Source organism: Homo sapiens, chromosome 14, assembly GCF_000001405.40.
Source record: "Homo sapiens chromosome 14, GRCh38.p14 Primary Assembly".
In the NCBI taxonomy this organism is placed as follows: Eukaryota; Metazoa; Chordata; class Mammalia; order Primates; family Hominidae; genus Homo; species Homo sapiens.
In genome coordinates, this window is record NC_000014.9 from 87,341,734 (window position 1) to 87,361,473 (window position 19,740).

Sequence of the window (19,740 nt, forward strand, 5' to 3'; positions counted from 1 at the left end):
AAAAGAATTTGGCAATAATCCCACTGACACATTACCCTTCCCAAAATACTATTTGATATAGCCAACCATCTGAGAAATAAATCAGAAAGAATGAGAATAGAGAATACTTGGTACCAAAGAAACAACAGTGAGCAGTGAAATCAGTAAAGCTGGAAGTCATTCTCTAGGCTAGACTTCTTTTTAAAGGGTCAATGTGCAAGTGTTCTGGGCTGAATTGTATCACACCAAAAAAATATGCTGAAGTCCTGATCCCAAGTAAATCAGCATGTGACCTTATTTGGAAAAGTGGCTCTTCTAGATGTAATCAATCTAAAATAAGGTGATTGGCATAGAGAGTAGAAGGATAGTTACCAGAGGCTAGGAAGGATAGTTGGGGAGTAGGTGGAGGTGTAGGGGGAGGTGGGGATGGTTAATGGGTACAAAAATAGTTACAAAGAATAAATAAGACCTACTCGTTGACAGCACCATAAAGTGACTTAGTAAATCATAACTTAATTGTACATTTAAAAATAACTAAAAGAATATGATTGGATGGTTGGTAACTCAAAGGAGAAATGCTTGAGGGGATGGATACCATATTCTCCATGATGTGATTATTGTGCATTGCATGTCTGTATCAAAACATCTCATGTACCCCATCGATATATTCACCTACTCTGTTCCTACAAATATTAACAATTAAAAAAAATTAAAAATAATATGAGGTAATTGGTGTGGGTCCTATTCTGATGTGGCTGGTGTTGTTATAGGAAGGGGACATTTTGACATAGAGCCAGTTAGACATAGGGGGAAGATGGCCCTGTGAGGGAGTGACACATACACAGCCAAGCAACACCAGGGACTACCAGAAAACACCAGAAGCTAGAAGACACAGAAAGGCTTATCCCAGAGAGAGTGGGGGGTCTGCTAACACCTTTATTTTGGAATTCTAGCTTTCAGCATTGTGAGGAAATAAAGTGCTGCTGTTTCAAGTCACCTATTTTTTGGTGCTTTGATGTGGAAGCCCTAGGAAACTAATGGAGCAAGCGTCTCCTGGTTTTCTTATACCCCCGATTTACACTGTAGGCTGAACTCTGTATCAACAGCCCTTACTTGTCATGGTCAAGTGTGTGCATGCTTATACACACACACACATGCACACATACACTGACAAGTTTTATTTAATATATGTCAGTTAATTGACATTGGTCACAGAAGAAACCAGCACCCTGCTTTATTCCTCTTCATTTTAAGTGACTTCTCGTGAGCTCTGCTTGTTGTTGTACAAAACCAGTAAAAATAAGTTCCATTTAGAATTCCAAAAAAGAGCTAATGAAACTTCAACTTAAATTTATTGAGAAAATTGAACACACCTACACTATATTAGGAAAATGGGGCCGGGTGTGGTGGCTAATGCCTGTAATCTCAACACTTTGGGAGGCTGAGGTGGGCAGATCACTTGAGGTCAGGAGTTTGAGACCAGCCTCGTCAACTTGGTGAAACCCTTTCTCTACTAAAAATACAAAAAGTAGCCAGGCGTGGTGGTGCGCGCCTGTAGTCCCAGCTTCTCAGGAGGCTGAGGCATGGAGAATCACTTGAACCTGGGAAGTGGAGATTGCAGTGAGTCGCGATCATGCCATTGCACTTCAGCCTGGGTGACAGAGTGAGACCTTGTCTGAAAAATAATTAAAATAAAAGGAAATATTGCACATTGAACGTTATCATTTGTGCAGGCTTTGATTCAGAAATATGTTGAAGATTTGTCTGACAGTGATATGCAGAAAAGAACATCAGTATTAGGAGACAGCTGGCTACTGGGCCTGAGATTACTCCTTTGATGACACCCTCAGCCCCTTGGCTTGGAATTTTGCATCTCTTATAGTCCACCTGTGCCTTATTTTCCTTCCTAGAACACCTGCGACTCTGTTGTTAATACTGTTATGAATTTACTGAGGTCAAAATATTCTACACACAGGCATTGATGGATGTAGGGCACTAATGGAAGAAAATAAAGGTGCCAGTAACTGAAGCACAAAAATATAATCACGAGTAAAATATTTGGGTGTTCCAGCGTGTGACGTCAAGTAAAATGAAATCATAAACACACCTATGAACATATATAATACTTCTTTAGTGATTCATTAATTGTCTCAATCCTTGACATTTTCCTCAACTTTCCAATTTCCCCATTCCATTTGGATGATATCATTTTTGGACCTTTGCCTAATGCTGCATTCTATACTGTTGAAAATTGGTGAAACTTTCCAAATCTGACTATTCTTTATTTCACAGATCAATGCTTATTCTCTATTAGCTTATATATACTTTAATGGCAAGAAATATGTCTTGTACATATTTGTATAACTCCATATGCTCATTCCAGAACATAGCAGAGTTCCTGCCTCATAGAAACCATCCAGCAAGTGTTTGTTGATACGAGCTCTCAAGAAAAATTAGAACGACATAAAGCTAATCTAATTCCTTACATTTAGTTGGACAGTGGACCAAAAATTCCTGTGTTGAATTAAAAAACCGTTCAACTCACCTTCTCCATCCTGTATCTTGTACTGTTGTTTTTCTATTGGAATAATAGTAGAAACTTTGAGGAAATGAGACATTCTGATAACTCTCGCAGTGCTTGGCACATAGACATCATCCTAAATGTTTCCTTATTGAATAATTGACCTTTGCTATGAAAAGGTGTCTGTACCTTTCTCCCTGGAACTCTTCTCTCCTTTACTGATTATTAACACCTTTTCTAAGGGACTCACAATATCCAAACATTATATTCAGTATATTTTCTTTCTTCTCTTCTTTTCCTTTCCTTTCCTCTCCTTTCCTTTCCTCTTCTCTCCTCTCTCTTTCTTTCTTTCCTTTTCTTTTTTCTTTCTTTTCTTTCCTTCCTTCCTTCCTTTCTTTCTTTCTCTCTTTCTTTCTTTTTTCTGTTCATCTCTTTATTTCTTCCCCTTTAATGCTTAAATTTACATATTTTGGTCACTAAGTTTCATTATTTCACCAATTTAAAATTGGGGAAGCCAAATTTTCTTTAGGGATAACTTTACTTCAAATCTGTTGGCTCCAAAAGCCAACATAGGGTTACACATTTTAAGTCATGATAGGCCCTTGACAGCTGCACATTAGATAAATGAGAAGGTCAGAACTGCAACACAAAAATCAGCATGAATAGACAGCATATGCAGGAAGGATCTTCCCACAGCACATCTTGTTGAAATGATAAATGTGGAAAAATAATTTACGAAATAGCATGTAGGGCCATTTTAAAACTGAAACCAAGGATAGAATCAACCACTTCACGCCTCTGAAATGTAAAGTAGAAGCAAAAAAGGTTGCGAGTTTCTGGATGTTCTGGTTACCTGTTAATTGGATCTCTGATAGTTGTCTTACCTGAATCCACCATCTTTCCACACACAACAATGGGTGCACAGACATCAACACATTGGTAATCTTTCCAACCCAAACAGGGTCACCAGTTTAGGTGATTAGCCCTACAGTCTGCCACAGGCTCTGTTGCCTGAACGCCATGCACAGAGGCAGAGAGATGCCCACAGGAATGAGACAAGAGTGTGGCTCACAGATGGCTCCCCTGGAGGGAGGAAGAAAGTCAGTCACACGTACAGTTGGTTTCCATGCTCTTTGACTAAAAGCGTTGAAGAAAACTTCACTTAAACTACCTATTGTGTATTATGCTGATTACCTGGGTGACAAAAACAAATGTACACTAAACCTCCTCCGTGACATGCAAGTTACCCATGTAACAAATCTGCACATGTACCTCTTGACCCTAAAATAAAGAAAAAAAGATTTCCCAATTCATCTTTTTAAGTCAAAATATTTCAAACTGACTTGCTAGTTTTATAAATATAACTTCATCTTTCTTAATAACCACCACACATTTTAATGAATTTTTTCAGTTGTTATATGTGTCTTTTCCTATCAAAAGTCAGAGATGACTAATGTATTTGACAAGGTTGAAATTGGTAGCATTTTAGGTTATTGCCAGAGTATGTTCTGTAGCTTACACAGGTATATAAATATACAAGACAATGGCTGATTTTTACAAATAAAAAACTTGCTTTTTTCTGCTGAATAATGATTTCCCTAAAGACCACAAATCTATTGATTATTCAAATCTAAGTTTATTAGATTTGTTGCAGTACTGGATAACACAATCTCGATAAGGTCAAGGGGAAATAATGAGAGAGAATATTTATGGAAGGGCCCAGATTGGGTCATTTTTTAAGGTGGGTCTTGCAAGACAGAGTTTATACAATAGTAGCTTTGGGTTGATGAGAATAGGACTATGGGGATCCAGAAGGAAGTTCTGATGAGCAAACTATTAGTCTTGACAAGTAAGCTATTTTAGTTGGCTGTTGGTATTATCTTCCAAGAGCAAGGATCTTCCAGGAACTAAGTTACTGTTGCTTGTTCTCAGTGTTGTTTAATATTAAGGACCAAAAAATATGCCTGATTGTAATATTATTTAACATAAGGACAAGACATGATACCAAGTTCAATCTTTTTTCTCTTTTATTTCTTCCTTTTCCACTCCCTCCCTCCTTCTTTCTTTGCTTGTCTGCTTTCAAAACTGAATCAAGGCAGCCTGCAATGAATGTTCAGTGGCAGTAAAACTGAAAACCATGTAGTGAAACAGAGAAATCATAAATAAAAGAGGAAAAAGAAGCTCTATTAAAACTGTCATGGCCAGAGCTATCCATGAGCATCCTGAAAGTTCTCACAAAGAAGGGAATAAGATCTCTACAAAGTAAAAATTGTCTATAGCAAGGAACAGATTTGTTTCATTAATAAAAAGAAACGGTTTCCTGGCCCTTAGCTTTGTGGAACAAAACATGCTAGAGAGAAACAAAGATTTAAAAAACACGTGGAAGGCTTTACCTTACCCTGTTATGTTGAAACCTCAGGTACTCCTGAAGACTCAGTTAAAAATAGAATATGGGAGGATGTAAGTGTGCTATAATGACAACATCTTTATATGACATCCTTGAGTGGGGACCTGATTTCCGACCTTACGCTTTTCACTGGCCTAAAACATTACAGAAAGCCCTAGGTCTCTGGTTTGGGGCTTTCCTAACCAGAGAATTTGCTTTCTCCACATAGGCTGCATAACCTACCAATTCAGGAATGCCTCTTTGGCATTAGTGGTATTATTTGGCATTATTCTTTGGCATAGAATTATTGTTCCCAATTTTTCACTCCCTTGTAGTATCATCCATCCAAGTTCTTGCCATGGGCTCAGAATAGACAGAAAATGTTTCCCTGGCTGCTGACCTTTGATTTGGCCATGGAACTTGTTTTAGATAGTGGGATGTTAGTACAATTGAAATGTGATTTGAAATGTGCATGCAGGATTGGACTTGTCTTCTTGCACTTTTCCCATAGCCATGATAGAAAGTTCCTGAGTTGCCTACTCGTTACAGAACAAGAGACTCTGACCTCAATCCGTGGCCCAAAGTTTAAGTTTAGTGGAACCCAGATCAGTTTAATGAAACTCTAGCTGGCCCAAAGATGTGTGAGCACAAATTAATTCTGTGTTTTTCAGCCACCGAGCTGAGGAGTGGGGGTGGGGATGGCTGCACAGCGGTACTGTGGCATTGACTGACTTCTACAGCCTCCCTGAGGCATTTCAGAGCCTAGTCCTTCATGTATATCATTCCTGTTCTGCCTCAGTAATTAATAAGTCAGAATTGTTATTTTTAGCAATCTGAAAACCTGGTCCAGACCTTTGTGGTCTGGCCTAGCTCAGTAAAGTTTTAGTTGTCTCCCTCCAAACTCATGAATGCATTGGCCAATGACCCATCAAATTTCTGCTGATGGCTGCAACAGAAAGAAAGATTATTTGAGAAATTGCCCAAACCTTGCCCTAAGGTCTAGAAATATCTGTAGGCTTCTATTGTTCCTGAGTTCACTGACATTCAGCACACACCACACACAAACACACACACACACACAGGCACACACTTTAGTACAATTTTTCTTGTGTCTTAAATAACACTGCTCCAGGATCTGCTTACCTTTCCCTGAAATGGGGGTGGAGAATGTTGAATGCCTTCCACATGAAAGACGGGCAAGGTAGGGAGGGAGTAGAATTGATACTGTGGCTCTTAGAGCAGTCACAGAGGCAGCCAGTCCCCCAGGAGAGAAGAGTAATGCTTTGCTCTTTTTGTTGCTTCTGGGTGAAAAGGGAAAAGCTGAGGCTCATCCAGATACTTCCCTCTCAAATTCAACTAATTCGAGTTAAGAGTGCCTCTCACCATCCTCATACACCATCAGGAATCATGTCTGATTTTACCACCACCACCAACCCCTGAAAGTGATGCTTATTTAAACAAAATTCCACATAAAATAAAAATAATCTCAGAATTGGTGGGTGGGAGGGCAGATGTTGCTCAACCCTGTAATTTGGCCAACCTTGAGATTTGACAGTGTCTTTTGTTAGATATGTGCCTGGGTTCTGTCTTCCCTCAGGGATATCCCAGGTAATATTCTCACACTGGTGCCAAACCCATTACCCAGAGAAACAATCAGCTTATCTTCCACCTCTGGCAACATTTATTCTTTTATTTATTTATTTGGATAGACTTGATTTTGGCTTATTACTAATAATCTTAGTTTGCATTTTGATTAATGTTTAAGCCCCTTCAAATCCTTTTGGAAAAGGCTGAGGGCTAAAGCTTAAATAAACAATGGGATATTCTCAGACTTCAAAAAAGCATTACCTTAAGGGAACTAGCCAGGCTGTGGAGTGCTGAGCCTCTTTCTGCCTAGTCCTAATTAGCTTTGGGATCTGGCAAACCTGTGCAATCCAAATGCATTCAGCACAGTCTCTGGCATGCTTTCTCAACTACCCTCATGTCTGGGCTCACCACATCCTTGGATTATCATCTGAAGAAAACATTTCCTTCTGTTCTTGTAAAGTTCTGCCTGGGGAATATCAGTCCTTCTCACCCATATTCCCATCTTTCCTTTGAGTTGTGACAAAAATAAGTCAGGTGGTTTAGTCTTTCTTGCCCCAAATGTAAGACCTTCAGGCTAATGATTTTGACCTTTAAGAGAAGCAACAGAGAACCACCACCATCAAAACATTGGGGAATAGGAGGTCTGACTGCAAGTCTCTCCTCTGAGAGTTACTCTTATAGACCTTGAATAGGAATAGGGAGAAGACTTACCAATTTACAAGAAAAACCAAGTAAGATTCCTCTCCAATGCCCTCCATGGGTCAGCACAAGGCCTGCCCTATGGAAGTAGAACTTTGCACAGATGGAAGAAAACAATCCTGTCAATGAAGAAAAAAAAGAGCTGGAGAAGGCTGTTCACTTTTTATCTTCCTCATCATACCTTTGCTTCTGCTCTCCTTGGGATGTCAACCATTCCGAGGCTTTGCTAGCTGTAAAGCAGGTAGATCAGGGGTCAGAAAATCATAGCCCATGGGCCAAATGCAGCTCCCACCTGTTTTTTTTTTTTTTTTTTTTTTTTTTTTGGTAAATGAAGTTCTGTTGGAGCAAGCTACACTCATTTGTTAATGTACTGTCTATGTCTGCTTTCATACAGCAATGGCAGAGTTCAGTAGTTGAAACAGACACTGTATAGTCTGCAAAAACTAAAATATTTACTATCTAATCTTTATAGAAAAATTTTGTTGACAGAGGAAAGGACAAGCATAAAAGGAAGCCCAAGATAAACCTGGTTTCAAAACGCAATATAATTTCAGTTCCCATTCCTCTGGCCAGGATCATTTTTTCCATATTTGCAGACATGGAGCAGAATTCTCTCAAGAATTATACTCAGAAATCAACATAGCCCCAATTGATAATAGATATTCCCAGCAAGACATGCATTTTCGAAGAAAAGTTCCCCATGGAAATTATCTTCCAACAAGTATAAAGAAGGCCAGGATATAGCATAATTTCCATCATGCCTAAACCCATATTTTTTTTTTAACTTCTCTGCAGGTTCCTAGCCTGAAATTAAGTCCTCAGCTACTTACTGAAAAGGACTCCCCAAAGCATCCTTTATGAGATTTCACACTATGATGCAAGGGCTCTTCTAAACCCTCACGGAGAAAATACAACCACAAAAGGCCTTGGCAAGTAGATAAGAATAAAATCAATTCACATCCCTCTGTAAGATATGTGTTCTTTAGAGAGAATTAAAAACCTGTTGGGATGCTTGTCCACACTGCCTGCTTGTAAAGCATATTCAATTATTCATTTTATTCAGCTGACTGACCACTTAAAAACTATGTAGTCAGTGCTTCAGCAATAATTTTATTTCTAAGTGTTCCACCTGGTTATTTTTCTGTGTGTGCACACTATTAATTAATGACTATGGAGAAGTCCATAAATTTCAGCATTCAGTAGCAGTGGTGCTTGAATCTATTACCCATGAAAGCCAGCATCCACAGTCACTGAGTAGGCACAAAGAGATAAGTATTGATTTTATTTTTGAGTTTTAATTTCTTCTCATTGAATCTGAATGAGTGAACTGCATTTAAACAACCCTCACAGTGCAGTGAAGCAGGGCGCAATACACATGGTCATTGCTCCACGGGACGGGCTTAGCCTACCTGCTCACATTCTGAAGGCTTTGTGTGTATCACTGATGGAGATGATAAACCATTTGAGGCTCCTAAAAACGCAGCCAAATCCTCTCTAGGCATTAGTGTCTTATTAAATTGGGACAAGGGAATTATCGACCTCCTGTGTTCAAAACCTAAGGCTCCAATAAAACTACTGATGTGCTTGCATTTGGTTGATTTAGCTTCCCTGAATGTCATGGAGATGGTATTAATGAGACAGCACAGTATCTCCAACTGGCAACTGGGGATTTCAGGGCTCTAGTGTGGCCCTGTGCTTCTCTGATGCAACCTACAATTGATATGGACAGGAGACAGGGAAACACTGGGTTGAAGCTGGTGGTTCTCCAGCGAAGGCCCCACCCTCAAGGCTGGAGACCCGTGGCCCTAAATGGGGACAGGCATTCCTGTTTTTGTGCCCAAAAAGTTGCCTTTTGACCTGCCATGCCCACTATCGTGTACCCATATAAACCCCAAACCCCAGGCTCTAGAAGCAGACAGGCAGACAAGCAGATGAGGAGACAAGGAGACAAGCCGAGGAATGGTGGAAAGATGCAGCAGAGAAAGAGAGAGGAGGAGGAATGTCTGAACGCAGAGAGGAGTTCGGCTACTGGACAGCCAGGCTCCAGGGGAATGTCATCTTCCGACCCCTTCCCCCCCAGGGGATCCCCATCCATCCCGCTGAGAGCCACCTCCACCACTCAATAACCCCCTCTCCGCCACCCCGCATACCTCCTTCAGGTCCATGTGTGACCCAAATCTTGTGGGACGCTGGACAAGAGCTCAGGATACAGAAAGTTGTCACACACTGCCTTGCAGAAAGGCAGATGTCCACTGAGCTGGTTAACACTCAAACTGTCCACGGATGGCAGTGCTGAAAGGCACACTAACACATACTCACCTGAGCTCCTGTATCTATCCATCTGCATGCCCCGCCTCCCATCAGGGCTTTGAGCAGTGTCAGCAACTGAACAGGCGAGCCATACTCCTGTCACACATCCCGCCAGGGGGATCAGGGAATCTCCCATTTCACAGTGCTATAGGATAAGGCAAGAATTGCATGTGCCTCTGTGCTCCATCTGTTTCATGAAGATGAGAAAACCCAGACCACCAACCTATCTCGACCAAAATCCACATAGAGAAGTTGAAGGAAAAATTTCTACTTCTTTTAACAAAAGTGAATGCTTTTAGCTAGTATAAATTCTTGGTGTCAGATACAGAGAAATGTTTTAAAAAGTAGAATGGGTAGAAAGAAAACTCTTATAATGCTTGAGGCTTAAAATAAAATATCTGAAATCATTTTACTGAACAAATATTACTGTAGTGCTTACTATGTGCTGATGTGTGATGCAGGCAATTAATGAAAATTAATGAGTGTAAACCTCATAACAATAAGCAGATCAGGTACTATTACCATTACCTGGAGAGAGTTGTTCTGGATTTTTTTATTAGTTTATTTTCAAAAGAGTTCCCAAGAATCTACTCCACATCCACTCATACAAACTTTCTGGGAGTTATTTCCTAGAAATCTGCATTTTGTGAAGCTCCCCAAGAGATTCTGATGCAGCCAGATGAGTGTTTAGAAATCACTGAAGTTTGACACCTTCACAGAGTTGCTGCATAGCTTGTTGCTGCTTTGAAATGAATCTAGCTCCTGTTGCTTTTTCCCAATTATGACCTCAGTTCCACATCTGTAAAATGAGGGTCTTCTAACCATATGGAACCTCAAATGTTTAATCTCTAAGGCAAGGGGCTGGTGTCAACTTGGGAACACATTTCCTGGAAAAAGCAGCAGGACTGGAGTTTGCCTTGAGTGTGGGTTCTGAGGAATGAGATAGTTATGAGGGGAAGAGACATAGAAAAGGCTTTTTTTTAAATTAGTTTTTATTTTTTTGAGAGAAGGCCTCCCTCTGTTGCCCAGGCTGGAGTACAGTGGCGTGATCCCAGCTCACTGCAACCTCGGCCTGCTCGGCTTAAGTGATCCTTTCACCTCAGCTTCTCAAGTAGCTGGGACTACAGGTGTGTACCACCATGCCCGGGTAACTTTTTAAAAATTTTTATAGAGACGAGGTGTCACCACGTTGCCCAGGCTGGTCTCAAACTCCTGAACTCGTGATCCTCTTGCCTTGGCCTCCGAAAGCACTAGGATATAGGAGTAAACCACCATGCCCGGCCAAGAGAAGACATTTTTAATAACCCATTTTACTGCTCCCAAATTGGGACTTTTAAAGATGAATTAATATGTGCATCTACACCACCCGCACTCACAGACAGCTGAGGACTCCATTCTGTCAGCTAGTTTATTTGGCTTCTTTGTTTACTCAGGGAACCAAAATGTTGGCAGAAAGTACGATTTGGGACCTATCCTACCCATATGTGTACCCACAAAAATAATTTAAAGAGCTCTTTGAGACAAAATTGTTTAAAATCAATGGAATGTGTACTGGAGAAGGGTTAAATGTTTTACAAATAAAATTACCTGTGGTATACCCATAGCTGTGACAGCTATAAGGCAGCATTTTGTGGCAGAAAGAATGAAGACTTTTGAGTCCAATACTTAGAAAAACTACTTTGCATCTCTGAGCCTCAGTTTTTCTCATCTGCAAAATAAAAATAATAGGAAGATTGTAAACTGCCTTAAAAACAGATAAGGGTTCATATGAATTATTCTGTATTTGATTTCAGAAGTCAAATTCATTACCTTTTCTGGGATGACCATGGATTTTCATATTCTTCACTATTTGGTGGTCACCTATGCGTCCCATTCCTCCTTGGACTGAAATGGCCCTTCATATGAAGATGTGTCCAGTTATTCATTTGAAAGATATGTTTTATCTCAGATAACTGTCCAAATTTGCCACTTAATATTTGTTCACAATATCTTTTATGTACTGAAAATAATTATATCAACAAATAGCCCATGTGTGATTTCATCCATTACTTGGGATTCTTCTGATTCCTAATCAGATAAAGTGTTTATCTGTGTTTTTCTAGTTGTTTGATGCTTTCATATTTGGTTAACACACTGATCCATTTAATAGGAATCATGACCATCTTTAACTGGGAGTCTTTGAAATTGCTCAGCAGCCCAGAGTTGGATCTGAGTGTATGTATCTTCCAATTTACTCTTTGAATTTTCATTGCTCATAAAGAAATATAAACACTTAGCTTCTTTGTGTGCCCATGAAATAGCTATGGGCTGGGAAGGTACTGGAAAGAGTCGTTGGTAAAGGCATGACTGGAAGTAGTGTTTCAAAAGGCAGAGGCAGTATGAGGAGGAAGTGAGAAATGAGGGAGTATTATGCTCCAAGATCTTATCCTTTGCTATATCTGAATATTTGTGTACCCCCAAATTTATATGTTGAAACCTGTATTAGTCTGTTCATATACTGCTAGTAAAGACATACTTGGGACTGGGTAATTTATAAAGAAAAGAGGTTTACTGGACTCACAGTTCCACATGGCTGGAGAGGCCTCACAATCATGGCGGAAGACGAAGAGCAAAGGGACATCTGACATGGCAGCAGGCAAAGAGAGTTTGTGTAGGGGAACTGGCCTTCATAAAACCATCAGATCTCCTGAGGCTTATTCACTATCAGGAGAACAGCACAGGGAAAACCTGCCCTGGTGACTCAATTATCTCCCACCAGGGCTCTCCCACGACACTTGGGGATTATTACAATTCAAGGTGAGATTTGGGTGGGGACACAGAGCCAAATCCTATCAAAACCTAATCACCAATGTAATTGTATTGGGAGGTAATACCTTTGGGAATTAATTTGGTCATAGGGTAGAGCCCTCATGAATGGGATGACTGTCCTTATAAAATAAGCCCCAGAGAGATGCCTTGCCTTGTTCCACCATGTGAGAACACACAATAAAGGTGTCAACTTGAACTGAAAAGTGGGTCTCCACCAGACATTGACACTGCTGTACCTTGACTTGGACTTCCCTGCTCCAGAACCATGAGTAATAAATTTCTCTTGTTTACAAGCTACACAGTTTATGTTATTTTGCCAGAGCTACCTTCATGGATTAAGGCACTCTTAATATCATAAAAAAGAAGAACCTTAAAGTCAAGTAAAAGGGAAACACAGAAGGGAGGTCTCAGAAAGGTAGTAGAACTTGAGCCGGACCTGTCTGATAAGTAGGGCCTACATACATGCCAAAGATGGCTGGTGCTCTGGAATTTGAACACAGTAGACCAGATTAAAGAAATCCACACAAGATGCTATATTTAAAAATGTAAGTAGGCATATGCTTTGACTAGATGTTAAGCTGGGGCATTCAAAGATAAAATCAAGTTTATCACTGAAAACACTAATATAATTTTCATTCTTCTGATTAAATTGGACTTGAAATCAATCATTTGCATTTTAAAACAATATTTCTTTTTTTTTCATTTCACTTCTTTTTGTTTGTTTTAATTACTATTATACTTTAAGTTTTAGGGTACATGTGCACAACTTGCAGGTTTGTTACATATGTATACATGTGCCATGTTGGTGGGCTGCACCCATTAACTCGTCATTTAGCATTAGGTATATCTCCTGATGCTATCCCTCCCCCTTCCACCCCGCCAACACTCCCCGGTGTGTGATGTTCCCCTTCCTGTTTCCGTGTGTTCTCATTGTTCAATTCCCACCTATGAGTGAGAACATGCGGTGTTTGGTTTTTTGTCCTTGCAATAGTTTGCTGAGAATGATGGTTTCCAGCTTCATCCATGTCCCTACAAAGGACATGAACTCATCATTTTTTATGGTTGCATAGTATTCCATGTTGTATATGTGCCACATTTTCTTAATCCAGTCTATCATTGTTGGACATTTGGGTTGGTTCCAAGACTTTGCTATTGTGAATAGTGCCACAATAAACATACGTGTGCATGTGTCTTTATAGCAGCATGATTTATAATCCTTTGGGTATATACCCAGTAATGGGATGGCTGGGTCAAATGGTATTTCTAGTTCTAGATCCCTGAGGAAGCGCCACACTGACTTCCACAATGGTTGAACCAGTTTACAGTCCCACCAACAGTATAAAAGTGTTCCTATTTCTCCACATCCTCTCCAGCACCTGTTGTTTCCTGACTTTTTAATGATTGCCATTCTAACTGGTGTGAGTCGGTATCTCATTGTGGTTTTAATTTGCATTTCTCTGATGGCCAGTGATGATGAGCATTTTTTCATGTGTTTTTTGGCTGCATAAATGTCTTCTTTTGAGAAGTGTCTGTTCACATCCTTCGCCCACTTTTTGATGGGGTTGTTTGTTTTTTTCTTGTAAATTTGTTTGAGTTCATTGTAGATTCTGGATATTAGCCCTTTGTCAGATGAGTAGGTTGCAAAAATTTTTTCCCATTCTGTAGGTTGCCTGTTCACTCTGATGGTGGTTTTTTCCTGCTGTGCAGAAGCTCTTTAGTTTAATTAGATCCCATTTGTGAATTTTGGCTTTTGTTGCCATTGCTTCTGGTGTTCTAGACATGAAGTCCTTGCCCATGCCTATGTCCTGAATGCTATTGCCTAGGTTTTCTTCTAGGGTTTTTATGGTTTTAGGTCTAACATGTAAGTCTTTAATCCATATTGAATTAACTTTTGTATAGGGTGTAAGGAAGGGATCCAGTTTCAGCTTTCTACATATGGCTAGCCAGTTTTCCCAGCACCATTTATTAAATAGGGAATCCTTTCCCCATTTCTTCTTTTTGTCAGGCTTGTCAAAGATCAGATGGTTGTAGATATGCAGCATTATTTCTGAGGGCTCTGTTCTGTTCCATTGGACTATATCTCTGTTTTGGTAGCAGTACCATGCTGTTTTGATTACTGTAGCCTGGTAGTATAGTTTGAAGTCAGGTAGTGTGATGCCTCCAACTTCGTTATTTTGGCTTAGGATTGACTTGGCGATGCAGGCTCTTTTTTGGTTCCATATGAACATTAAAGTAGTTTTTTCCAGTTCTGTGAAGAAAGTCATTGGTAGCTTGATGGGAATGGCATTGAATCTATAAATTACCTTGGGCAGTATGGCCATTTTCATGATATTGATTCTTCCTACCCATGAGCATGGAATGTTCTTCCATTTCTTTGTATCCTCTTTTATCTCATTGAGCAGTGGTTTGTAGTTCTCCTTGAAGAGGTCCTTCACATCCCTTGTAAGTTGGATTCCTAGGTATTTTATTCTCTTTGAAGCAATTGTGAATGGGAGTTCACTCATGATTTGGCTCTCTGTTTGTCTATTACTGGTGTATAAGAATGCTTGTGATTTTTGCACATTGATTTTGTATCCTGAGACTTTGCTGAAGTTGCTTATCAGCTTAAGGAGATTTTGGGCTGAGACAATGGGGTTTTCTAGATATACAATCATGTCATCTGCAAACAGGGACAATTTGACTTCCTCTTTTCCTAATTGAATGCCGTTTATTCCCTTCTCCTGCCTGATAGCCCTGGCCAGAACTTCCAACACTATGTTGAATAGGAGTGGTGAGAGAGGGCATCCCTGTCTTGTGCCAGTTTTCAAAGGGAATGCTTCCAGTTTTTGCCCATTCAGTATGATATTGGCTGTGGGTTTGTCATAGATAGCTCTTATTTTGAGATGCATCCCATCAATACCTAATCTATTGAGAATTTTTAGCATGAAGCGTTGTTGAATTTTGTCAAAGGCCTTTTCTGCATCTATTGAGATAATCATGTGGTTTTTGTCTTTGGTTCTGTTTATATGCTGGATTACGTTTACTGATTTTCATATGTTGATCCAGCCTTGCATCCCAGGGATGAAGCCCACTTGATCCTGGTGGATAAGCTTTTTGATGTGTTGCTGGATTCGGTTTGCCAGTATTTTATTGAGGATTTTTGCATCAATGTTCATCAAGGATATTGGTCTAAAATACTCATTTTTTGTTGTGTCTCTGCCAGGCTTTGGTATCAGGATGATGCTGGCCTCATAAAATGAGTTAGGGAGGATTGCCTCTTTTTCTATTGATTGTAATAGTTTAGAAGGAATGGTACCAGCTCCTCCTTGTACCTCTGGTAGAATTCGGCTGTGAATCCATCTGGTCCTGGACTTTTTTTGTTTGGTAAGCTATTAATTATTGCCTCAACTTCAGAGCCTGTTATTGGTCTATTCAGAGATTCAACTTCTTCCTGGTTTAGTCTTGGGAGAGTGTATGTGTCCAGGAATTTATCCATTTCTTCTAGATTTTCTAGTTTATTTGCATAGAGGTGTTTATAGTATTCTCTGATGGTAGTTTGTATTTCTGTGGGATCAGTGGTGATATCCCCTTTGTCATTTTTTATTGCGTCTATTTGATTCTTCTCTCTTTTCTTCTTTATTAGTCTTGCTAGCGGTCTATCAATTTTGTTGATCTTTTCAAAAAACCAGCTCCTGGATTCATTGATTTTTTGAAGGGTTTTTTGTGTCTCTATTTCCTTCAGTCCTGCTCTGATCTTAGTTATTTCTTGCCTTCTGCTAGCTTTTGAATGTGTTTGTTCTTGCTTCTCCAGTTCTTTTAATTGTGATGTTAGGGTGTCAATTTTAGATCTTTCCTACTTTTTCTTGTGGGCATTTAGTGCTATAAATTTCCCTCTACACACTGCTTTGAATGTGTCCCAGAGATTCTGGTATGTTTTGTCTTTGTTCTCGTTGGTTTCAAAGAACATCTTTATTTCTGCCTTCATTTCATTATGTACCCCAGTAGTCACTCAGGAGCAGGTTGTTCAGTTTCCATGTAGTTGAGCGGTTTCGAGTGAGTTTCTTAATCCTGAGTTCTAGTTGGATTGCACTGTGGTTGGAGAGACAGTTTGTTATAATTTCTGTTCTTTTACGTATGCTGAAGAGTGCTTTACTTCCAACTATGTGGTCAGTTTTTGAGTAGGTGTGGTGTGGTGCTGAAAAGAATGTATATTCTGTTGATTTGGGGTGGAGAGTTCTGTAGATGTCTATTACGTCCGCTTGGTGCAGAGCTGAGTTCAATTCCTGGATATCGTTGTTAACTTTCTGTCTCGTTGATCTGTCTAATGTTGACAGTGGGGTGTTAAAGTCTCCCATTATTATTGTGTGGGAGTCTAAGTCTCTTTGTAGGTCACTAAGGACTTGCTTTATGAATCTGGGTGCTCCTGTATTGGGTGAATATATATTTAGGATAGTTAGTTCTTCTTGTTGAACTGATCCCTTTACTATTATGTAATGGCCTTCTTTGTCTCTTTGGATCTTTGTTGGTTTAAAGTCTGTTTTATCAGAGACTAGGATTGCAACCCCTGCCTTTTTTTGTTTTCCATTTGCTTGGTAGATCTTCCTCCATCCCTTTATTTTGAGCCTATGTGTGTCTCTGCACATGAAATGGGTTTCCTGAATACAGCACACTGGTGGGTCTTGACTCTTTATCCAATTTGCAAGTCTGTGCCTTTTAATTGGAGCATTTAGCCCATTTACATTTAAGGTTAGTATTTTTATGTGTGAATTTGATCCTGTCATTATGATGTTAGCTGGTTATTTTGCTTGTTAGTTGATGCAGTTTATTCCTAGCCTTGATGGTCTTTAAAATTTGGCATGTTTTTGCAGTGGCTGGTACCGGTTGTTCCTTTCCATGTTTAGTGCTTCCTTCAGGAGCTCTTTTAGGGCAGGCCTGGTGGTGACAAAATCTCTCAGCATTTGCTTGTCTGTAAAGTATTTTATTTCTCCTTCACTTATGAAGCTTAGTTTGGCTGGATATGAAATTTTGGGTTGAAAATTCTTTTCTTTGAGAATGTTGAATATTGGCCCCCACTCTCTTCTGGCTTGTAGAGTTGCTGCTGAGAGATCAGCTGTTAGTCTGATGGGCTTCCCTTTGTGGGTAACCTGACCTTTCTCTCTGGCTGCCCTTAACATTTTTTCCTTCATTTCAACTTTGGTGAATATGACAATTATGTGTCTTGGTTATCTTTGTGGCATTCTCTGTATTTCCTGAATTTGAATGTTAGCTTGCCTTGCTAGATTGGGGAAGTTCTCCTGGATAATATCCTGCAGAATGTTTTCCAACTTGGTTCCATTCTCCCCGTCAGTTTCAGGTACACCAATCAGACGTAGATTTGGTCTTTTCACATAGTCCCATATTTCTTGGAGGCTTTGTTCGTTTCTTTTTATTCTTTTTTCTCTAAACTTCTTTTCATGCTTCATTTTATTCATTTTGTCTTCCATCACTGATACCCTTTCTTCCAGTTGATCGCATCACTTACTGAGGCTTGTGCATTCGTCACGTAGTTCTCGTGCCTTGGTTTTCAGCTCCATCAGGTCCTTTTAGGACTTCTCTGCATTGGTTATTCTAGTTATCCATTCGTCTAATTTTTTTTTCAAAGTTTTTAACTTCTTTTCCATTGGTTCGAACTTCCTCCTTTAGCTCGGAGTAGTTTCATCTTCTGAAGCCTTCCTCTCACCTGGTCAAAGTCATTCTCCGTCCAGCTTTGTTCCATTGCTGGTGAGGAGCTGCATTCCTTGGAGGAGGAGAGGCACTCTGATTTTTAGAGTTTCCGGTTTTTCTGCTCGGTTTTTCCCCCATCTTTGTGGTTTTATCTACCTTTGGTCTTTGATGATGGTGATGTACAGATGGGTTTTTGGTGTGGATGTCCTTTCTGTTTGTTAGTTTTCCTTCTAACAGTCAGGACCCTCAGCTGCAGGTCTGTTGGAGTTTACTTGAGGTCCACTCCAGACTCTGTTTGCCTGGGTATCAGCAGCAGTGGCTGCAGAACAGCAGATATTGGTGAACTGCAAATGCTGCTGCCTGATCCTTCCTCTGGAAGTTTTGTCTCAGAGGAGTACCCATCCGTGTGAGGTGTCAGTCCACCCCTACTGGGAGGTTCCTCCCAGTTAGGCTACTTGGGGGTCAGGGACCCACTTGAGGAGGCAGTCTGCCCGTTCTCAGATCTCAAGCTGTGAGCTTGGAGAACCACTACTCTCTTCAAAACTGTCAGACAGGGACATTTAAGTCTGCAGAGGTTATTGCTGCCTTTTGTTTGTCTGTGCCCTCCCCCAGAGGTGGAGCCTACAAAGTGAGGCAGTCCTCCTTGACCTGTGTTGGGCTCCACCCAGTTCGAGCTTCCTGGCGGCTTTGTTTACCTACTCAAGCCTGAGCAATGGCGGGCGCCCCTCCCTCAGCCTCACTGCCACCTTGCAGTTTGATCTCAGACTGCTGTGCTAGCAATGAGTGAGACTCCATGGGCGGAGGACCCTCCGAGCCAGGTGTGGGATATCAACTCCTGGTGTGCCATTTGATAAGCCCGTTGGAAAAGCACAGTATTAGGGTGTGAGTGACCCAATTTTCCAGGTGCCGTCTGTCACCCCTTTCTTTGACTAGGAAAGGGAATTCCCTGACCCCTTGCGCTTCCCGGGTGAGGCGATGCCTTGCCCTGCTTCAGATCACACACGGTGTGCTGCACCCACTGTCCTGCACCCACTGTCTGGCACTCCCCATTGAGATGAACCCAGTACCTCAGTTGGACCCGTCTTCTGCGTCGCTCATGCTGGGAGCTGTAGACTGGAGCTGTTCCTATTCGGCCATCTTGGCTCCACCCAAAACAATATTTCTATTAGACATTCACGTTGCATTTTTATTAGCCTGTACCACATTTTAGTAGGTATTTTCGGTTGTTTTTAAAATAATTAGGACTGGTGTTGTGAACAATACTAGTACATTTGAAATAATAATGCGTAAACTTTTAAATGTTTTCTTTCTTTGAAAATACATTAAAGTTATATTCTAGGTTTACAGTAACTATATTTCAGTAAAACTAAAATGCATTGTTACAATGCAGAACAAAGTACATGTATTTCTATACCTATCTTATACTGATAACAGTTTCCTTGGCACTGTGGGAGAATACAAAAGTAGTAACACAGACTTATGGATACCACAAGCACACGGTCTAACAGAAAGCAGGGGTGAAAAAGTCTAGTGAACTAGGCTGAACAAGGATGAACACAATAAATAGGATAATAATACATCACCTGTGTAGTACAGACTGCAAGTTGCATGGACATTTGGAACTGAGGACAAAAGTACAACATATTAGGACAAACTTAACATGGGAAAATCAGGAAGTTGGTATTAGGCTCAAATATGGCAATACCCACAAGAGCACTTTATACACAGTGGGGTAAGATTCAAATCTGACACAGAAAGAGCTTCTTGT

The 19,740-nt window shown here is 40.3% G+C and overlaps 1 long non-coding RNA gene across 1 annotated transcript in view, besides 1 other annotated feature; it reads right to left on the bottom strand.

Annotated features, from left to right (window-relative positions):
• Positions 1,308–2,507: an enhancer, noted in NCBI's record as "P300/CBP strongly-dependent group 1 enhancer chr14:87809385-87810584 (GRCh37/hg19 assembly coordinates)". NCBI's record gives its function as "activates an origin of replication core promoter dependent on BRD2, BRD4, P300/CBP, MED14 and CDK7 cofactors, with strong dependence on P300/CBP, by STARR-seq in HCT116 cells {active_cell/tissue: HCT116}" and the evidence as "EXISTENCE:reporter gene assay evidence [ECO:0000049][PMID:35650434]".
• Positions 2,913–19,740, bottom strand: part of LINC02296 (long intergenic non-protein coding RNA 2296) — a 268,818-nt gene continuing 251,990 nt past the window's right edge. The window contains exons 12-16 of the long non-coding RNA XR_007064294.1: positions 11,292–11,377; positions 11,070–11,190; positions 9,492–9,627; positions 7,185–7,291; positions 2,913–7,061 (exon numbers count right to left, since the gene is read on the bottom strand). This is a non-coding gene — a long non-coding RNA (long intergenic non-protein coding RNA 2296). The remainder of the gene's footprint in view (positions 7,062–7,184; positions 7,292–9,491; positions 9,628–11,069; positions 11,191–11,291; positions 11,378–19,740) is intronic.